Source organism: Homo sapiens, chromosome 16 (assembly GCF_000001405.40).
Source record: "Homo sapiens chromosome 16, GRCh38.p14 Primary Assembly".
NCBI lineage: Eukaryota > Metazoa > Chordata > Mammalia > Primates > Hominidae > Homo > Homo sapiens.
In genome coordinates, this window is record NC_000016.10 from 78,614,303 (window position 1) to 78,629,503 (window position 15,201).

General features: G+C 43.2%; 1 protein-coding gene across 2 annotated transcripts in view; it reads left to right on the forward strand.

Moving 5' to 3' along the window:
- The window catches only part of WWOX (WW domain containing oxidoreductase), a 1,113,014-nt gene that overhangs the window by 514,649 nt on the left and 583,164 nt on the right, over positions 1–15,201 (forward strand). The window lies entirely within an intron of this gene.

A 15,201-nucleotide genomic window follows, 5' to 3' on the forward strand; every position in this document is an offset into this window, starting at 1 on the left:
AATCAAGTAGAATAACATGGTTTATTTGTGTGTGTATTGTTCTGTTTTTGGTAAAATCATGCTTATCATATCTTCAATGCATCATTTATTCTGAGTCCACATTGCTGCCTTTGAGCCGGGGCCCTGAGGTATCTCCTATACTCTGGCTGGGGTGAGGGCGGCAGGTCCTCTGGGCCAGCCCAGATCCACCCTGTTCACGGTGTGTGTCCTGCTGGGCTCACTTCTGAAGCTGACCTTGGGGAGCAGATTGAACACCTGTTGATGCCATTCTCTTAATTTCAGGGGAATGTGTGGGTCTTTGAGCTAGAGAGACATAGGTGTATGGCAGATGAGGGACCACCCCCTCCACCTTAGTCCAGTTACAGGGCCTCGCCTTTTTGATACTAACGCTACATGAAGAGGGACGGGGCCAACAGCAGGCTCTTCCTTGACGTGTTTTATGTACACTCCAGAAATATTGACAGAGTTGTCTTTTTGTTTTGGTTTTTAAATGTTTTTTTAAGTTAACTTCTGGAATGCATGTGCAGAACGTGCAGGCTTGTTACATAGGTATACATGTGCCATGGTGGTTTGCTGCAGCCATCAAGCCATCTTTTAAATCCATTCTTAGATTTTCCTTTTCCATAGCTCTTTGTGATGCTTGCTTTAATCAGTTGATACATGTTTAATCACGTTTTGCTCTGGGCTGTGTTATATACAGCTCCCTCCCTAATCTTGCTAGAAGGTAGGGCTAATGCATTGTCAATTCAGAAATAGGGGGTGTTCCTGAGTCTGGGGACACTCTAGTGAAATTCTATGTGTAAAATAATTTGTACAAGTTTATATTTTTAGCTAAATTAAAATACTCACATTCCCATTATTTTTTAGAGGTTGTAAGCTAAGTAATAACATTCTAGAAACTCTCTGTTTTTTGAAAGGGCATCACCACTGTTGAAGGCGCTAATGGGAGATCCTAAGTTTCAGGCTCTGCTACAGACGTCAGGTCCCCTAGGAGTTGGGCTGCCTTTGCTCTCCTCTCCGCGACTCGGTACCTGGTGTATAGTTGGCTAAAAAGAAGTTGTTGGGGCTGGGTGCAGCACCTCACACCTGTAATTTCAACACGTAGGGAGGCTGAGGCAGGAGGATCTCCTGAAGCCCAGAATTCAAGACCAGGCTGGGCAGCATAGCACGACCCATCTCTACTATAAATTTAAAAATTAACTGGGTGTGGTGGTGCACATCTCTAGTCTCAGCTGCTTGGGACTACTAGAAAGGTAAGGCAAGAGAATCCCCTGAGCCCAGGAGTTGGAGGTTGCTGCAGCTATGTTCGCACCACTGTATTCCAGTCTGGGCAACAGAGCAAGACCCCATTTCCAAAAAATAAATGAAATAAATAAATACATAATAAATAAACAGTAGTGGTTGAAAGAAAGGGAAGGAAGAAATGCTGTTTTAGGAAATCAATAGGATAATTTTTTTTTTTTTTTGAGGCGGAGTCTCACTCTGTTGCCCAGGCTGGAGTGCAGTGGCACAGTCTCCGCTCACTGTAAGCTCCGCCTCCCGAGTTCACGCCATTCTCCTGCCTCAGCCTCCCGAGTAGTTGGGACTACAGGCGCCCGCCACCACACTCAGCTAATTTTTTGTATTTTTAGTAGAGACAGGGTTTCACTGTGTTAGCCAGGATGGTCTCGATCTCCTGACCTCGTGATCTGCCTGCCTTGGCCTCCCAAAGTGCTGGGATTACAGGCGTGAACTACTGTGCCTGGCCAGGATAATCTTTAAGAAGAAGATAACATTAGCTATTCTTCTCACTTCCTACGTAGAATTCCCTACCCTGTGTCTTTGGCCTGGAAAGGGTATTGGTAGCAATTGTCTTCGGCTTTCCCTGCCATGTGTATGCATTCCCACGGCCACACAAGCACACACACACTTTTGTGGTTTTTTTTTTAATTATATAAGCAAGTAGGATGTTTGTCTTAGTTTTTTTGGGCTGCTATAACAAAATGCCATGGACTGAATAATATATAAACAACGGAAATGTATTTCTCACAATTCCGGAGGCTGAGAAGTCCAAGAGGAAGGCACTGGCAGATTCAGTGTCCGGTGAGGATTTGTTTTTGATCTCATAGGTGTCCATCTTGCTATTTTCTCAACTAGCAGAGGCAACTCTCTGGGGTATCTTTTAAAAGGGCACTAATGGCCAGGAGTGGTGGCTCACACCTGTAATCCCAGCACTTTGGGAGGCCGAGGCAGGTGTCTCGGTGGATCACTTGAGGTCAGGAGGTCGAGACCAGCCTGGCTGACATGGTGAAACCCTGTCTCTACTAAAACTAAAAACTTAGCCAGGCTCGGTGGCTTGTGCTTGTAATCCCAGCCACTTGGAAGGGTGAGGCAGAATTGCTTGAACCTGGGAGGCAGTGGTTGCAGTGAGCTGAGATGGTGCCACTGCACTCCTGTCTGGGAGACAGAGGGAGGAGACTCCATCAACACTAATAATAATAAAGTAAATAAAAGGGCACTAACCCTACTCAGGAAGCCTTCACTCTAATGACATAATTACCTCCCAAAGTCCGCACTTCCTAATGTTACCACTCTGGAGGTTAGAATTTCAACATATAAATTTTGGGGGGACACATTCAGACCACAATAATGTTTTATAATGTTCCTTTTGCTTTAACAAGAGACACATGTCAGATAGTAGACATGATCTGAGAAGACACAAAACCCAGCGTGGTGATTTTGGCAGCCTTGCCATGCATCTCTAACATGCACATGGCCAGAAAAATAGCTTGGACATTCTGTTCAACCCTCCACATCAACTGGTCAGTTTAGTCTTTAAAAGGTGATAGGCCTGTTGTGGTGGCTCACGCCTGTAATCCCAGCACTTTGGGAGGCTGAGGCAGGTGGATCACTTGAGCCCCGGAGTTGAAGACCAGCCTGGGCAACACGGTGAAACTAAGAATAGAAAATATTAGGTGGGCGTGGTGGCGTGCACCTGTGGCCTCAGCTACTTAGGAGGCTGAGGTGGAAGGATCACTTGAGCCCAGGAGGCAGAGGTTGCAGTGAGCCGACATTGCACCACTGCACCCCAGCCTGGGCCACACAGAGAAACCTTGTATCCAAAAAAAAAAAAAAAAAAGTGACCACACTGTGGCTTTGCTGCTTTGCCTAAGTATTTCGTGAAATTGATCGTTCATTCACAATGCTCAGTGCAGTGACTTTGCCGAGCACAAGTGGTGGACTTAAGAAGCCACATAAAGAAGCACCCACGTCTTTCTCTGAGGACGTGCTTGTGTGTGTTCTGAGGAAAGCAGGTGATGATCCCTGAGGTGTATCCCCCAATCCCAAACTAGAAGTGAGTCCCCCTGCTCCTCAAGCTTGCATGGCGCTCAGGTATTCCAGTGGGCCCCGCTGCATTCTTCCCAGTCCCAGGAAATCTTTGTGCATGGCTGTCTTTTCTGTGCCATCTTGGGCATCTCACGCATTGGCCCTATCCACATGTTGCCTCCAGCATCCCAGGAACTCCGTTAATGTTTATTTGAATGATGGAATGAAGGTGTCTTGCTATATTTTGACATTTCTGTCAAAATATGAATCTATCTTTGCCTAGCATCTTTTCATGTGCACATTGCCCATCTTTATAACAAAGTGTGAGTGGGAAAGGACTTTTAATCTTCATTATATTATCATTCATATGAATAATGTTAACAATTAGTGTTTATTGAGCACCTGCTATGAGCCAGATGTAGTGTTCAGTGCTATTCATGTGTTCTTGAATTAAATTTTCATGGCAAGCCTAAGAGGCCATGACTGTCCACATTTTGCCTCTGAGAGACGCAAGGCTTGGAGGCAGGAAATCACTCACTGAAGGCCACAGCACAAAGTGGGGACTTGAGTCCCGATCTCACTGATTCTAAAGTCCTTGCTCTCCAACCTCTGTCCATCTGAAATGGAAAAGCACTGACGCAGTTCTCACTCTGGAGCTTGTTTTATTTTGCTTGGGCTGCTGTAGAAATACCACAGGTCAGGTGGCTTAAACAACAGGAATGTAGTTCCTCACAGTTCTGGAGGTTGGGAGTCCTAGATCAAGGTGTCAGCAGGGTTGGTTTCTCTCTGTACCATTGTCCCTGGCTTGGAGATGACCATCTTCTCTGTCTTCACATGGTCTTCCCTCTGTGTGCGTTTGCATCCTTATGGCCTCTTCTTGTGAGGGCACTGGTCATATTGGATTAGGGTCCACCATATAATGACTTTATTTTACCTGAACTGTCTCTTAAAAGGCTCTGTCTCCAAACACAGTCACATTGTGAGGTACTGGGGGTTTGGGCTTCCACATACAAAGTCTGGGACACAGTACGCTCTCATAAGAGACCTCTTCTCAACAGGATCCATGTTTGATCCGGGGGAATAAAGCTAGAGTTGCTTTCTTCCTTGTAATATGTATAATGACTCATGAGAGAATTCCCCACTGTCTTCCCCACCTGAGACCTGAGAGGAGGAGAAGGAAGCTTGGAGTCGCTGCCCTGTGGCCTGAATTGGTCAGTGACCAATCACTCAGACCCAGCTGACAGGCTATACGCGGACACCTTGGATGTGCCCAGCATGGATCTTCTCCAAGTAGGAGGCCTTGGAGTCAGAGAAAGGTGCAACTCCCACTGCTGCTGCAAGAACAAAGACTTTAAGATACTGAAATTTCTGGGCAAAGTTTCCTCAACTCTTCATTTAAGTGTTAGGCCAGGTGGGGTGGCTCATGTCTGTAATTCCAGCACTTTGGGAGGCTGAGGTGGGAGGATCACTGGAGGTCGGGAATTTGAAACCAGCCTGGCCAACGTGGCAAAACCCCATTTCTACTAAAAAAAAAATATATATATATATATATATATATATATATATATATATATATATATATATATATATATATATATATATATATGTAGCCATGCATGGGGGCCTGCCCTTGTAGTCCCAGCTACTTGGGAGGCTGAGACATGAGAATCGCTTGAACCTGGGAGTCGGAGGTTGCAGTAAGCTGAGATCGCCACTGCACTCCAGCCTGGGCAACAGAGCAAGACGCCATCTCAAAAAAAAAAAAAAAAAGTGTAATGCAAGTAGAAAAGGGCACACACTCCAGGTGTATATCTCAACAAATTTGTACACACTGCATGCACATGGGTGACCCGCACCCACATGTTATACACAGAATAATTACAGGACCCTGCCAACCTCCTCCTATCCCCTTTCAGCTCCTGCTGTGATGCCACTTCTAATCTCAATTTTATTATACAATTTGTTAAATACAGAAGTAAATGGAGGCAATAGTGATAGTAAAAAGAACCATGTGAATTGGGCGTGGTGGCTCATGTCTGTAAAGCCAGCACTTCGGGAGTCCAAGGTAGGAGGGTCACTTGAGCCCAGCAATTGGAGACCAGCCTGGGCAACATCATGAGACCCCATCTGTATCCAAATAAAAGCAACAAAAAAATGAGACATGGGGGTGCATGTCTGTGGTCCCAGCTACTCAGGAGGCTGAGGCAGGAGAATCACTTGAGCAAAGGAGGTTGAACCATGATTGCACCGTTGTACTCCATCTAGCCTGGGCGACAGAGTGAGAACCTGTCTCCAAAATAAATAAATAAATAAATAAAAATAAAAGTAACAGAACCATAGGCCTTATCTTTATCTGAGTTCCTGTAGCATGTGCACTACTCCTGATTAACCAAGTGAAAGAGAAAATGAGACTAATCTCTAACGTCAGCTTCCTTTTCTGCCAAATGGAAGATCATCTCTAATTAATAATGAGTTAGAATACCTAGGACAGTATTTGGCACACAGTTGATGAGGATGGTGTACCTAGTAGCTAATGGTGAGTAGGATGAATAATAATACTATACCTTTTGGTTTCTGAAATGAGAAATCTAAGGAACTGGCTTAACCAAGAAGCAGCAAGCTGTTTTAATTGTGCTGTTAGGAGGGCTGTTTGTTAAGGTACAGAAGAGGATTGGCCCATGGCTTTCTGCTAAGAACCTGCTGAATGTCTGTATAGAATCCCTGCATTGTGCCTCCTATCAATCAGGTGCTTAGGTTTGACAAGTTTCCTCCAACAGACTCGTGTAGAAGTTTCTGTATCAACTGGAAAAAACCATGGTGCTTGGGACATTCAAGGCCGAAACTTGGTCCCTGGATGGGAGAAGATAGCTGTATCATTGGCAGAGCTGCCTTGGTCATGTACCCTCTCCAGACTAGACACTAGATAGTGGGTAGGGTGGGACAGTTTTATGTCCTCTGCCACCTTATCTGGGACTCTTGTCCCCTGAGAAGTTTGAAAATTTGGCACATTTTAGTATTTGTCAGTGTACTTCCTGCTTCTTGATGCACTTGTACTGCACAAGAATTGATTTTCAGGAAATATGGTTTTTTTTTCCTTTTTGCACAGCGATGGGTTAGCAAAATGCATATTTGCATAGAAATAATCTTTAGTGAGCTCTGCTGGCAAGTGTGTCAAATTTATAAATATCACTACTATAAAGACATACTTTTGGATATGGATTTCTTCCTCAGTTTATTTCTTCTTTCATTTTTTCATGTCCAGGTCACTACGTATTGCGTATATTTGGTTGGAATTTTATTTTTGAGCAATTCACTTACCCAGATTGTGTTTCTGGAGATTAAAGCATCTCACTGTATTTTTAGTTTTTTCTACATTGCAATTTCAAAATAATCCAACTCAAAGGCTGTTGAAAGGCTCCTTCTGTTTAAGGTAAAGCCTGTGGCAGCCTTTAACTTCCTTTCTCTTCTCCTGCTGCCACCTTGGTCCACAGTTTATCTTTGAAAATGCTGGGTTTTAATGGGCAGGGTATAGTGCAGAAACCAGATGGTTTTAACTCACACCTGTGAAAATGCTGGGGATCTGCGAAACATTAAAGTTAATGGCCAGAATAAGGCTGCCAAGCTCGGTGGAATTGTACTTAACTGGCATATCATTCTGGTTAACTGAACTTTCCATTAACTCACAGATCTATCTTTTCATGCCCCCTTCTAACCCCCTACTCACCACCCACCCAGTTCCTCCTAGTGGGCAGTTTGCTGCTGCTGTCTTACCTCCTCATCCTCACCCCTTTCACCTCTCCCCTGGTAACTGATTTATTTTTCCCTCTTGGAGTTGCTTATTCTTTTCTTCTTCCAGTTGCATCTCTCCCTCTACTTAGATACACATTTCCATTTTACTTCTATTTGGTAGTCTCAGAACTTGGCTTTTATTGGCCAGTATATTCAATGATTCACTTGCACCTTTAACCTTGTGTTGTTCTAATCTTTTTTTTTTTTTTTTTTTTTTTTTTTTTTGAGACAGAGTCTTGCTCTGTTGTCTAGGCTGGAGTGCAGTGGCACCATCTCGGCTCACCACGAGCTCTGCGTCGTGGGTTCATGCCATTCTCCTGCCTCAGCCTGCGGAGTAGCTGGGACTACAGGCACTCACCACCATGCCTGGCTAATTTTTTGTATTTTTTAGTAAAGATGGGGTTTCACCATGTTAGCCAGGATGGTCTCGATCTCCTGACCTCATGATCTGCCTACCTTAGCCTCCCAAAGTGCTGGGATTACAGGCGTGAGCCACCGTGCCCAGCCTTCTTGTTTTAATCTTTTAGACAACTGGACACAGGTTTGTCTTTGAAATTGTACTGGTTTTTCTTGATGTTTTAGTGCTCCTGGATGTCCAATGTCATTCTTGGGCTAGTTGAAGGAAAGTTTTGGCTACCCAGTTGTTAGCTGCTGAAGTTTAACTGTGCATTCTAAGCACACCAGTATTTTATTACATCATACCTGGGCAGCAGATAATTTTAGTAAAACCTTGAAAAGATATGACTATTGGGAAGAAATTTGGGATTCTATCCTTTTTCTCTCCATTCTTCTCTCCTGCACCAAGTTTCTAAGCTCGTGATTAAATAAATTCTGACCCTACTCTGATAAAAGTGAACCCTTGTGGCTGGTCGCAGTGGCTCATGCTTGTAATCCCAGCACTTTGGGACGCCGAGGCAGGCAGATCACCTGAGGTCAGGAGTTTGAGACCAGCCTGGCCAACATGGTAAAACCCCACCTCTACTAAAAATACAAAATTAGTCAGGCGTGGTAGTGTACACCCATAATCCCAGGTACACAGGAGGCTGAGACTTAAGAATCGCTTGAACCCAGGAGACGGGGGTTGCAGGGAGCTGAGATCGTGCCACTGTACTCCAGCCTGGGTGACAAGAGTGAAACTCCATCTTAAAAAAAAAAAAAAGTGAACCCTTGTAGTTTCTTCCTCTGTTTGACAGATGGACCCTAAGACGGCCCCAGTGATACCCCACCTCCTGGTGTCCAAGGCCTGATGTGATCACCCTTCCCCCACCTTGAATGTAGGTGGGATATGGGAGACTTACTTCTGACCAATAGAATATGAAAAAGATAATAGGATGTAACTGTTTAGATTCGGTTACACTATATGGCAAAGCAAAGGGATTTTGGAAATACCATTAAGGTCTTACATGAGACAGATTTTGAGTTAATGAGCAGGGGGATCCTCCTGGGTGGGCCTGACTTAGTAAGGGGAAAATCCCTTAAAGAGGAGCTAAAATAAGAGAGTCTCTCTCTCCATTGCTGGCTTTGAAAAAGTAAGCTGCCTTGCAGTAAGGAACTGCATTTGGCTTCTAGGAGCTGAGAGTGCCCTAAGGAAGCCAGCAAGAAAATGAGGACATTAGTCCTATAACCACAAGGAAATGAGTTCTGCTAGCAACCTAAGGGAGCTTGAAGGTGATTGACCATCCCCAGTCAAGCCTCTGATGAGACCGCAGCCCCACTAGGCAACTAGATTTCAGCATGGTAAGACCCTGGATGGAGAACCCAGCTCAGCCATGCCCAGACTCCTATCCTATGGAAGCTTTAAGATAATAAATGTATGTGGCTTTAAGCTGTTAAGCTTTTGGTAATTTGTTAGATGGCAACAGAAAATGTGTACACCCTGGATAGTAGACAGAGACTGCATCTTTCTTTGGCATTTGGCTGCACAGCAAGTTCTAAGTTACTCACCAGGTTTCAGAGGAGAGATGGGAATTTGATGATCTTATAAGAAACCTGTACTCTTTGGCCAGACACGGTGGCTCATGCCTGTCATTCCAGCACTTTGGGAGACCAAGGCGGGCAGATCACCTGAGGTCATGAGTTCGAGACCAGCCTGGGCAACATGCTGAAACCCCATCTCTACTAAAAATACAAAAATCAGCCAGGCATGGTGGCGCATGCTTGTAGTCCCAGCGACTTGAGAGGCTGAGGGATGAGAATCACTTGAACCCGAGAGGCAGGGGTTGCAGTGAGTGCGGTGGCAGCTGGGACATTAACCAAGTTGTGAAAGGAGCCATGATGTTATTAGCTGAGTCATGTCACTGCACCTCCAGCCTGGGCAACAGAGTCAGACTCTGTCTCAAAAAAAAAAAAAAAAAGTGTACTTTTTGAGGAAAGTTCTATTTTTCATTATTTTCCACTATGAATGAAGAAGAAAATAATATACATACATTACTGGGATTCATACGGACATTATTTAGACACACTTCCACCTACAGAGTCACATATTGTATAGAATAAAATATCATCAGGAGCAGCTCATGTGACCAGAATGTGGCAAAGTCTTTGCTCTACAGGTCAAGTTGGGACTTACTGAGGAGAAATGAGGGGACTTCAAAGTCCAGGTTGCACCATCCACTTTATAGATGAGGAAAGTAAGAACCCACAGCATCTTGCACGTAGAATTCAATATATGTCCTGCTTCTTGAATCACATTGACCTAACAGGTCATATGATTTCCATTTGTTTGCACAACAACTCAAGGGCAAAAGTGAAATTGGAATTTTTGCTTTTGAATTTCTGAAACCTTGTTTTATTTATTTATTTTCTAATCTTTTTTTTTTTTTTTTCGTGGAATCATGTTCCCTTCGGAAAACTCCCTGGGTGCCCCAGCATTATGTGGTAAAGGACATGTATTTCCAACTGGCAGGGGCTCTGCAAAGTTTCTCTGCCTCCTTTGCTAACCAAACCCTAAATAATTGTCTGGATGTTCCTTTTATTGTCACCTCTGAAACAAGACGAAGATTTGGACGGTTTGCTTTAGAGTGCATTAACTTCTTTATCACATTAATACTGACTCATATCTTATTTCCCACTTGCAATAAGAAAACCATTCAAATCTTTCCCTCACAGGACAATATCTTTAATAGCTTCTGTGTGTTTCCTATTTTTGGCTGTTTCTGTATAAACAGACTAATCTAATAGCATACTGAACCCATCTAACTTGGCAGAAATTCAGAAAATCACTCATTTCTATGGCAAGCTGAGATGCTGAGAAGGGGGAAAAAACCCTCACTTTTATTGCAGCAAGATTTTTCTCAAAGTTGCCTTTCATGAACATAATATGTCTATCATTTGGAATTCTCCAGCACCCTGGCTGGAAATTATTTATTGCAGAACGACACAATGGTGAACGAGAAGGTATTATTCCCTGTACGATTTCTGGCTTGAATTTGTTTGCCTAAAGGAGCAGATATCGTATGAACATGATTTTGAATGCTGGCATGGTGATGAAAGGTGATGTTCACCTGGAGTCTGTACACACAAAACCCTGTTCATTTTACCTAAAGGGTAAGAACATCATGGCCCCCTTCATATCCTGGTTAATGTCCCCGCTGACCCTGAGTTCTGCCTCCATCACTGGAACAAGAGCCTGTCTTTGGGAAGAGGTGTCTTCCCTGGCACTCGTTTGATTTGTAGCCGCCACACATGGCAGGTCCCAAGCTGTCTGAAGTCTTGGCTGCCATTCCTAAGCTACTAAAACTTTGCTGGAGAACATCACCAATCACGCTGAGGGATCCTTTGACAACTCAGCTTCATGAGGACAGCTGCAGTTCTGCGTTTAGGCTGGGGTCACCGGGGTCGCTGCCCCAGCCCCACTCTTTAGCCTCAGTCCCTCTGTGGTTCCCCTGACTGAGCTCCTCACTAAAGGGGAGGAATCCCTGGAGCCTCCCCATCCAAGGCCAGCGTGTTCCATTTGAGGGTAACTGGATCCCTGAAATTCACCCCCACACAATCCACAACCTACTACTAGAATGCCATATGCTTTTCTATATGCTGTTGTTTAATTTCAGTTGGTACATATTTTATTTTTTGAAACAGACTTCGTTAGAACATCTTTAGATTTAAAGAAAAATCAAGACTGTAGTACCAAGTTCCCATGTGTGTAACAGCCAGTTTATCCTATTATTTTAACGTCTTATGTTATTTGGTACATTTATTAAGATTAAATTATTGATACTGAAATATTAGGTTGTGCAAAAGCAATTGTGGTTTTTGCCATTAAAAGTAATAGTAATAATAATACTCGGTTGGTGCAAAAGTAAATGTGTTTTTTGCTATTAAAAGTAATGCGGTTTTACTTCTGCAGTTTTTTTGCCATTTGCCAATTACTTTTGCAGTTTTTGCCAGTACTTAAAAGTAATGGCAAAAACTGCAAAAGTAATTGGCAAATGGCAATTGCGGTTTTTGCCGTTACTTAAAATTGCATTACTTAAAAGTTTTTAAGTAATGCAATTACTTAAAACTTAAGTTTTTAAGTAAGTTTAAGTAAAATTTGCATTACTTAAAAGTAATCGCAGTTTTTGCCATTACTTAAAAGTAATGGCACCAACCTAATATTGTTATTACTTTTTACCAACCTAATATTGTTATTAACTAAAGTCCATCGTTTATCATATTGCCTTAGGTTTTTAAAAAATTTTTTACCTAATGACTTTTTTGTGTTCCAGGAGCCCATCCAGGATACCACTTTTATTTATTTTTTTTTTCTTTTTGAGATGGAGTCTGGCTCTTTTGCCCAGGATGGAGTGCAGTGGCGCGATCTTGGCTCACTGCAACCTCCGCCTCGCAGGTTTAAGTGATTCTCCTGCCTCAGCCTCCTGAGCAGGTGGGACCACAGGCATGCGCCACCACGCTCAGCTAATTTTTGCAGGATACCACATTTTATTTAATTGTCAGGTCTCCTTAGCATCTTCTTGGCTGTGACAGTTTCTCAGAATTGTCTTTGTGATGACCTTGACAGCTTTGAGGAGTGCTGGTTGGGTATTCTGTAGGATGCTCCTGTGTTGGGATTTTTATGATGTTTTTCTCATGAGTTTACTGGAGTTAATGAATTTCAGGGAGGAAGACCCCAGAGGTCTGTTTTCATCACATCGTATCAAGCATTCCACCTTCATCATGACTCTTCACTGTTGATGGTGACTCTGATTCACCTGGTCAAGGTAGTGTTCATTAGGTTTCTCCACTGCACACTTAGTCTTTCCCTCTACTTTCCACACTGCTGCCTTTGGAGGAGTGTTGCTGTGCCCAGCTCATGCTTGTGGAGTGGGGATTTAATGTTCTCACTCTTCGAGGGTAGAGTATCTGCATAAACTACTTGGAATTCTGCATGGAATATTTGTGTCTTCTCCCCCATTTATTTATTTAATCATTTATTTATATCACGGTACACTCATGGACATTTATTTTATGCTTTATGTTATAATCCTATACTACTTTATTTATTTTGTTGCTTAAATTTTTCCAGATGGAACAATTTGGTCTTCAAAAGTTGCTGCTGTTGGCTCCTGTGTTCTTGTGATGTACACACATCATGGTGTGGTGTGTTTTTATCTTTGGTTTTGTTTTCACTTCTTTTTTGCTTTTTGTGCCTCCTCTTCCCTCTTCCCCCCACCTCATACATACACAAAGGGCAGCATGCTACTATAATTTCTGGAATCTCAGCCATATTCTTCTTTTTTTTGTTTTAAATAAAAATCATACTAGAGCAGTAGGCAGTGTGGGTGAGTTCTCCCACTTTACATTTTACTTTGCATAATTTAGGCCCCTTTCAGGCCACTCTTCCCCCTGTGCCCCAGGTGTGTTTGCTACCATACCTCCCCAGGGGATAGCCCTCCAAACCTGATTGGCCAACTAGTCTGGTCTTAAAGTCCCAAAGGGAGGCCATCACAAACTACTCAGTATGGAGAAGACCTGAATCCTAATTTTGGCTTAACCCCAAACTTGGGCGATTCAGTTTTACCTGTGTCCTCTCTATACCATAGTTTATGACAAGGGGTTTTCTGTGGCTGGTCTCCAAGGCCTCTTCCAATCTTGACATTCTGTGATCCTGTAAGTCTTTGAATAATGGCCCAGGATGCCAACAAGAAGTCACCAATGAGAGTTCAGGTGTTCTGTTGGAAATCTTTGTAAAATCACAGAGAAAAGGAGAAGAAAAAGAATAAAGAGGAAAAACTGGACACATAAATAGGAAGACAAAGAATGAATGTGGACTGGGGAGAGAAGAGTCATTGACAGGGACAAGAAATAAATAACTTTGATGCAAATCCTGGGAAGACTCTGGAACAACATGGAGGCACCTATGTTAACTCTATTTCATTTTGGAAAAGTTGACTAGACAAAAGGTGCAGAGTAGAGTATGCAGTGATTTCAGGGTGTTGGGCTCTGACAAGATGATGCCGACTTAGACAGTGTTAGTCAACATCAAATGTCTGGATCAAGAGAGGCAAGAATCCCGTGGATTTGGCGTTGGCCAGAACTTGTCTGGAATCTTGTTTTCTGCCTTGAGTGTCACCTGTTGAGAGCTCTGTTGACAAACTGGCATTTGTCCTTGGGAGAGTAGCCTCAGGACCAGGGGTGAAGAGTTCAGTAAACTGTGTTTAACCCAAGGAAAGATACAGGGTGTGTCAGATTTTGTAAGGATTTTCAAGGAGCAGTAGATAGTGGCCCTACAGTGGAATGAACCTTCACACCGAGGATCTGCTTCCTTTGTTGGAGGTGGGAAAGCAAAAGCTGGATGCTTGGAATTGTCATGGCTGCCGTCTGAGTGATGCTACCTTGAGTGGACGGTTTGGCCAACTAAGGAGTAAGGCCTCTCCCTCATGTCACATTGAGTGGTGCTAATGTTTCCTGAAGTTTCCCTTTCTTTTCAGTTCAGTGTTTCAGAATCTCAGCCTTCCAGCAGAATCCCCTTTGTTTGCTCTAAATATACATTCCCAAGCCCCGTGTGGCCATTCTGATTTACTAGGTCTGGGGTTGGGGGATTGTGGGTGCCGAGAATCAGTATTTCTATCAAGCTCCCAAGGGGACCTGATATATACATGGAGCTGAAAAGTACCCACCTAACAGACTTGCCAGCTCCTTAAGGATAAGAACTATATTTTCTTCCTTTTTTTGTATGCCTCCCCATGCAAGGATAATTACACAGAATAAGCACTGAGATGCCTGTTGATGGATTTATTCCAGCAATTTTTTTTTTTTAGCTCTCTTTGTCTGGAACTTTGCAAAATAAACACCATGGTCACTCCGTGCTTTGTGAGTGACGTGCTAGAATGGAATTTCACTGTTTTAAATTCAGGGTTAATTTCTTGCTTTCAAATGAATTATGAAAGGAAGAGGAGAGACCTTTGGAAAAGTCTGAATGTTGATGCCGACGACTAGCCAGGCGCTTCCCTTCCAGCTGGTTTCGTGAGGGATTAAGAGGCCACTGTTGTGAATCTCCCATTAGTGATGGTCCCAGGCCCCCTCCTCATTGTGCATTTATCTTACAAGAGGCATATTTAGGAGATGTTTCCGTTCTATTTTATCTGCAGAATTACTTTCCATTCTCAGGTCTTTTATATAAGTATTCCCTTGAACCCGTTCCAAAAACTGGATTTTTAACCCAATAGACCATAACTGCAGTGTTTTATTGTGCTTACATATTTCAAAATGTGAATGTAAGTAGATTTAGCAAAGTTAAAATAAAATGAAAACTTTTCAAAGGGCACCACTGCTCGCATTCCCATGTTGGAGTTTTCCCTTTGGGGTTCTTATGCCATTTTAAAGACTCTGAAAACAGGAAGACTTTTTCTCTTGGGTATTTTATTTTTTTTTCCTCTGCAAGGGATGGGGTCATAAGACATTGGTGAGGTTAGGCCTTCCTTTGTCTCCCAGGAGCACACTTGATAGCAATGTAGGGTGAATTCCAAATCTGTGAGTTAGTGCCGTATATAGCAGTGTTGTCAGTAAGATTTCTCACTGGCATCTCTGCTTCCCCTCTTGACTCTCTTGAAATCCCTTCTTCAGGCAGAAGCTGGAGTCATTTCTCTAAAATAGAAATCTGATCTTGCCACCACCCTACTTGCCACT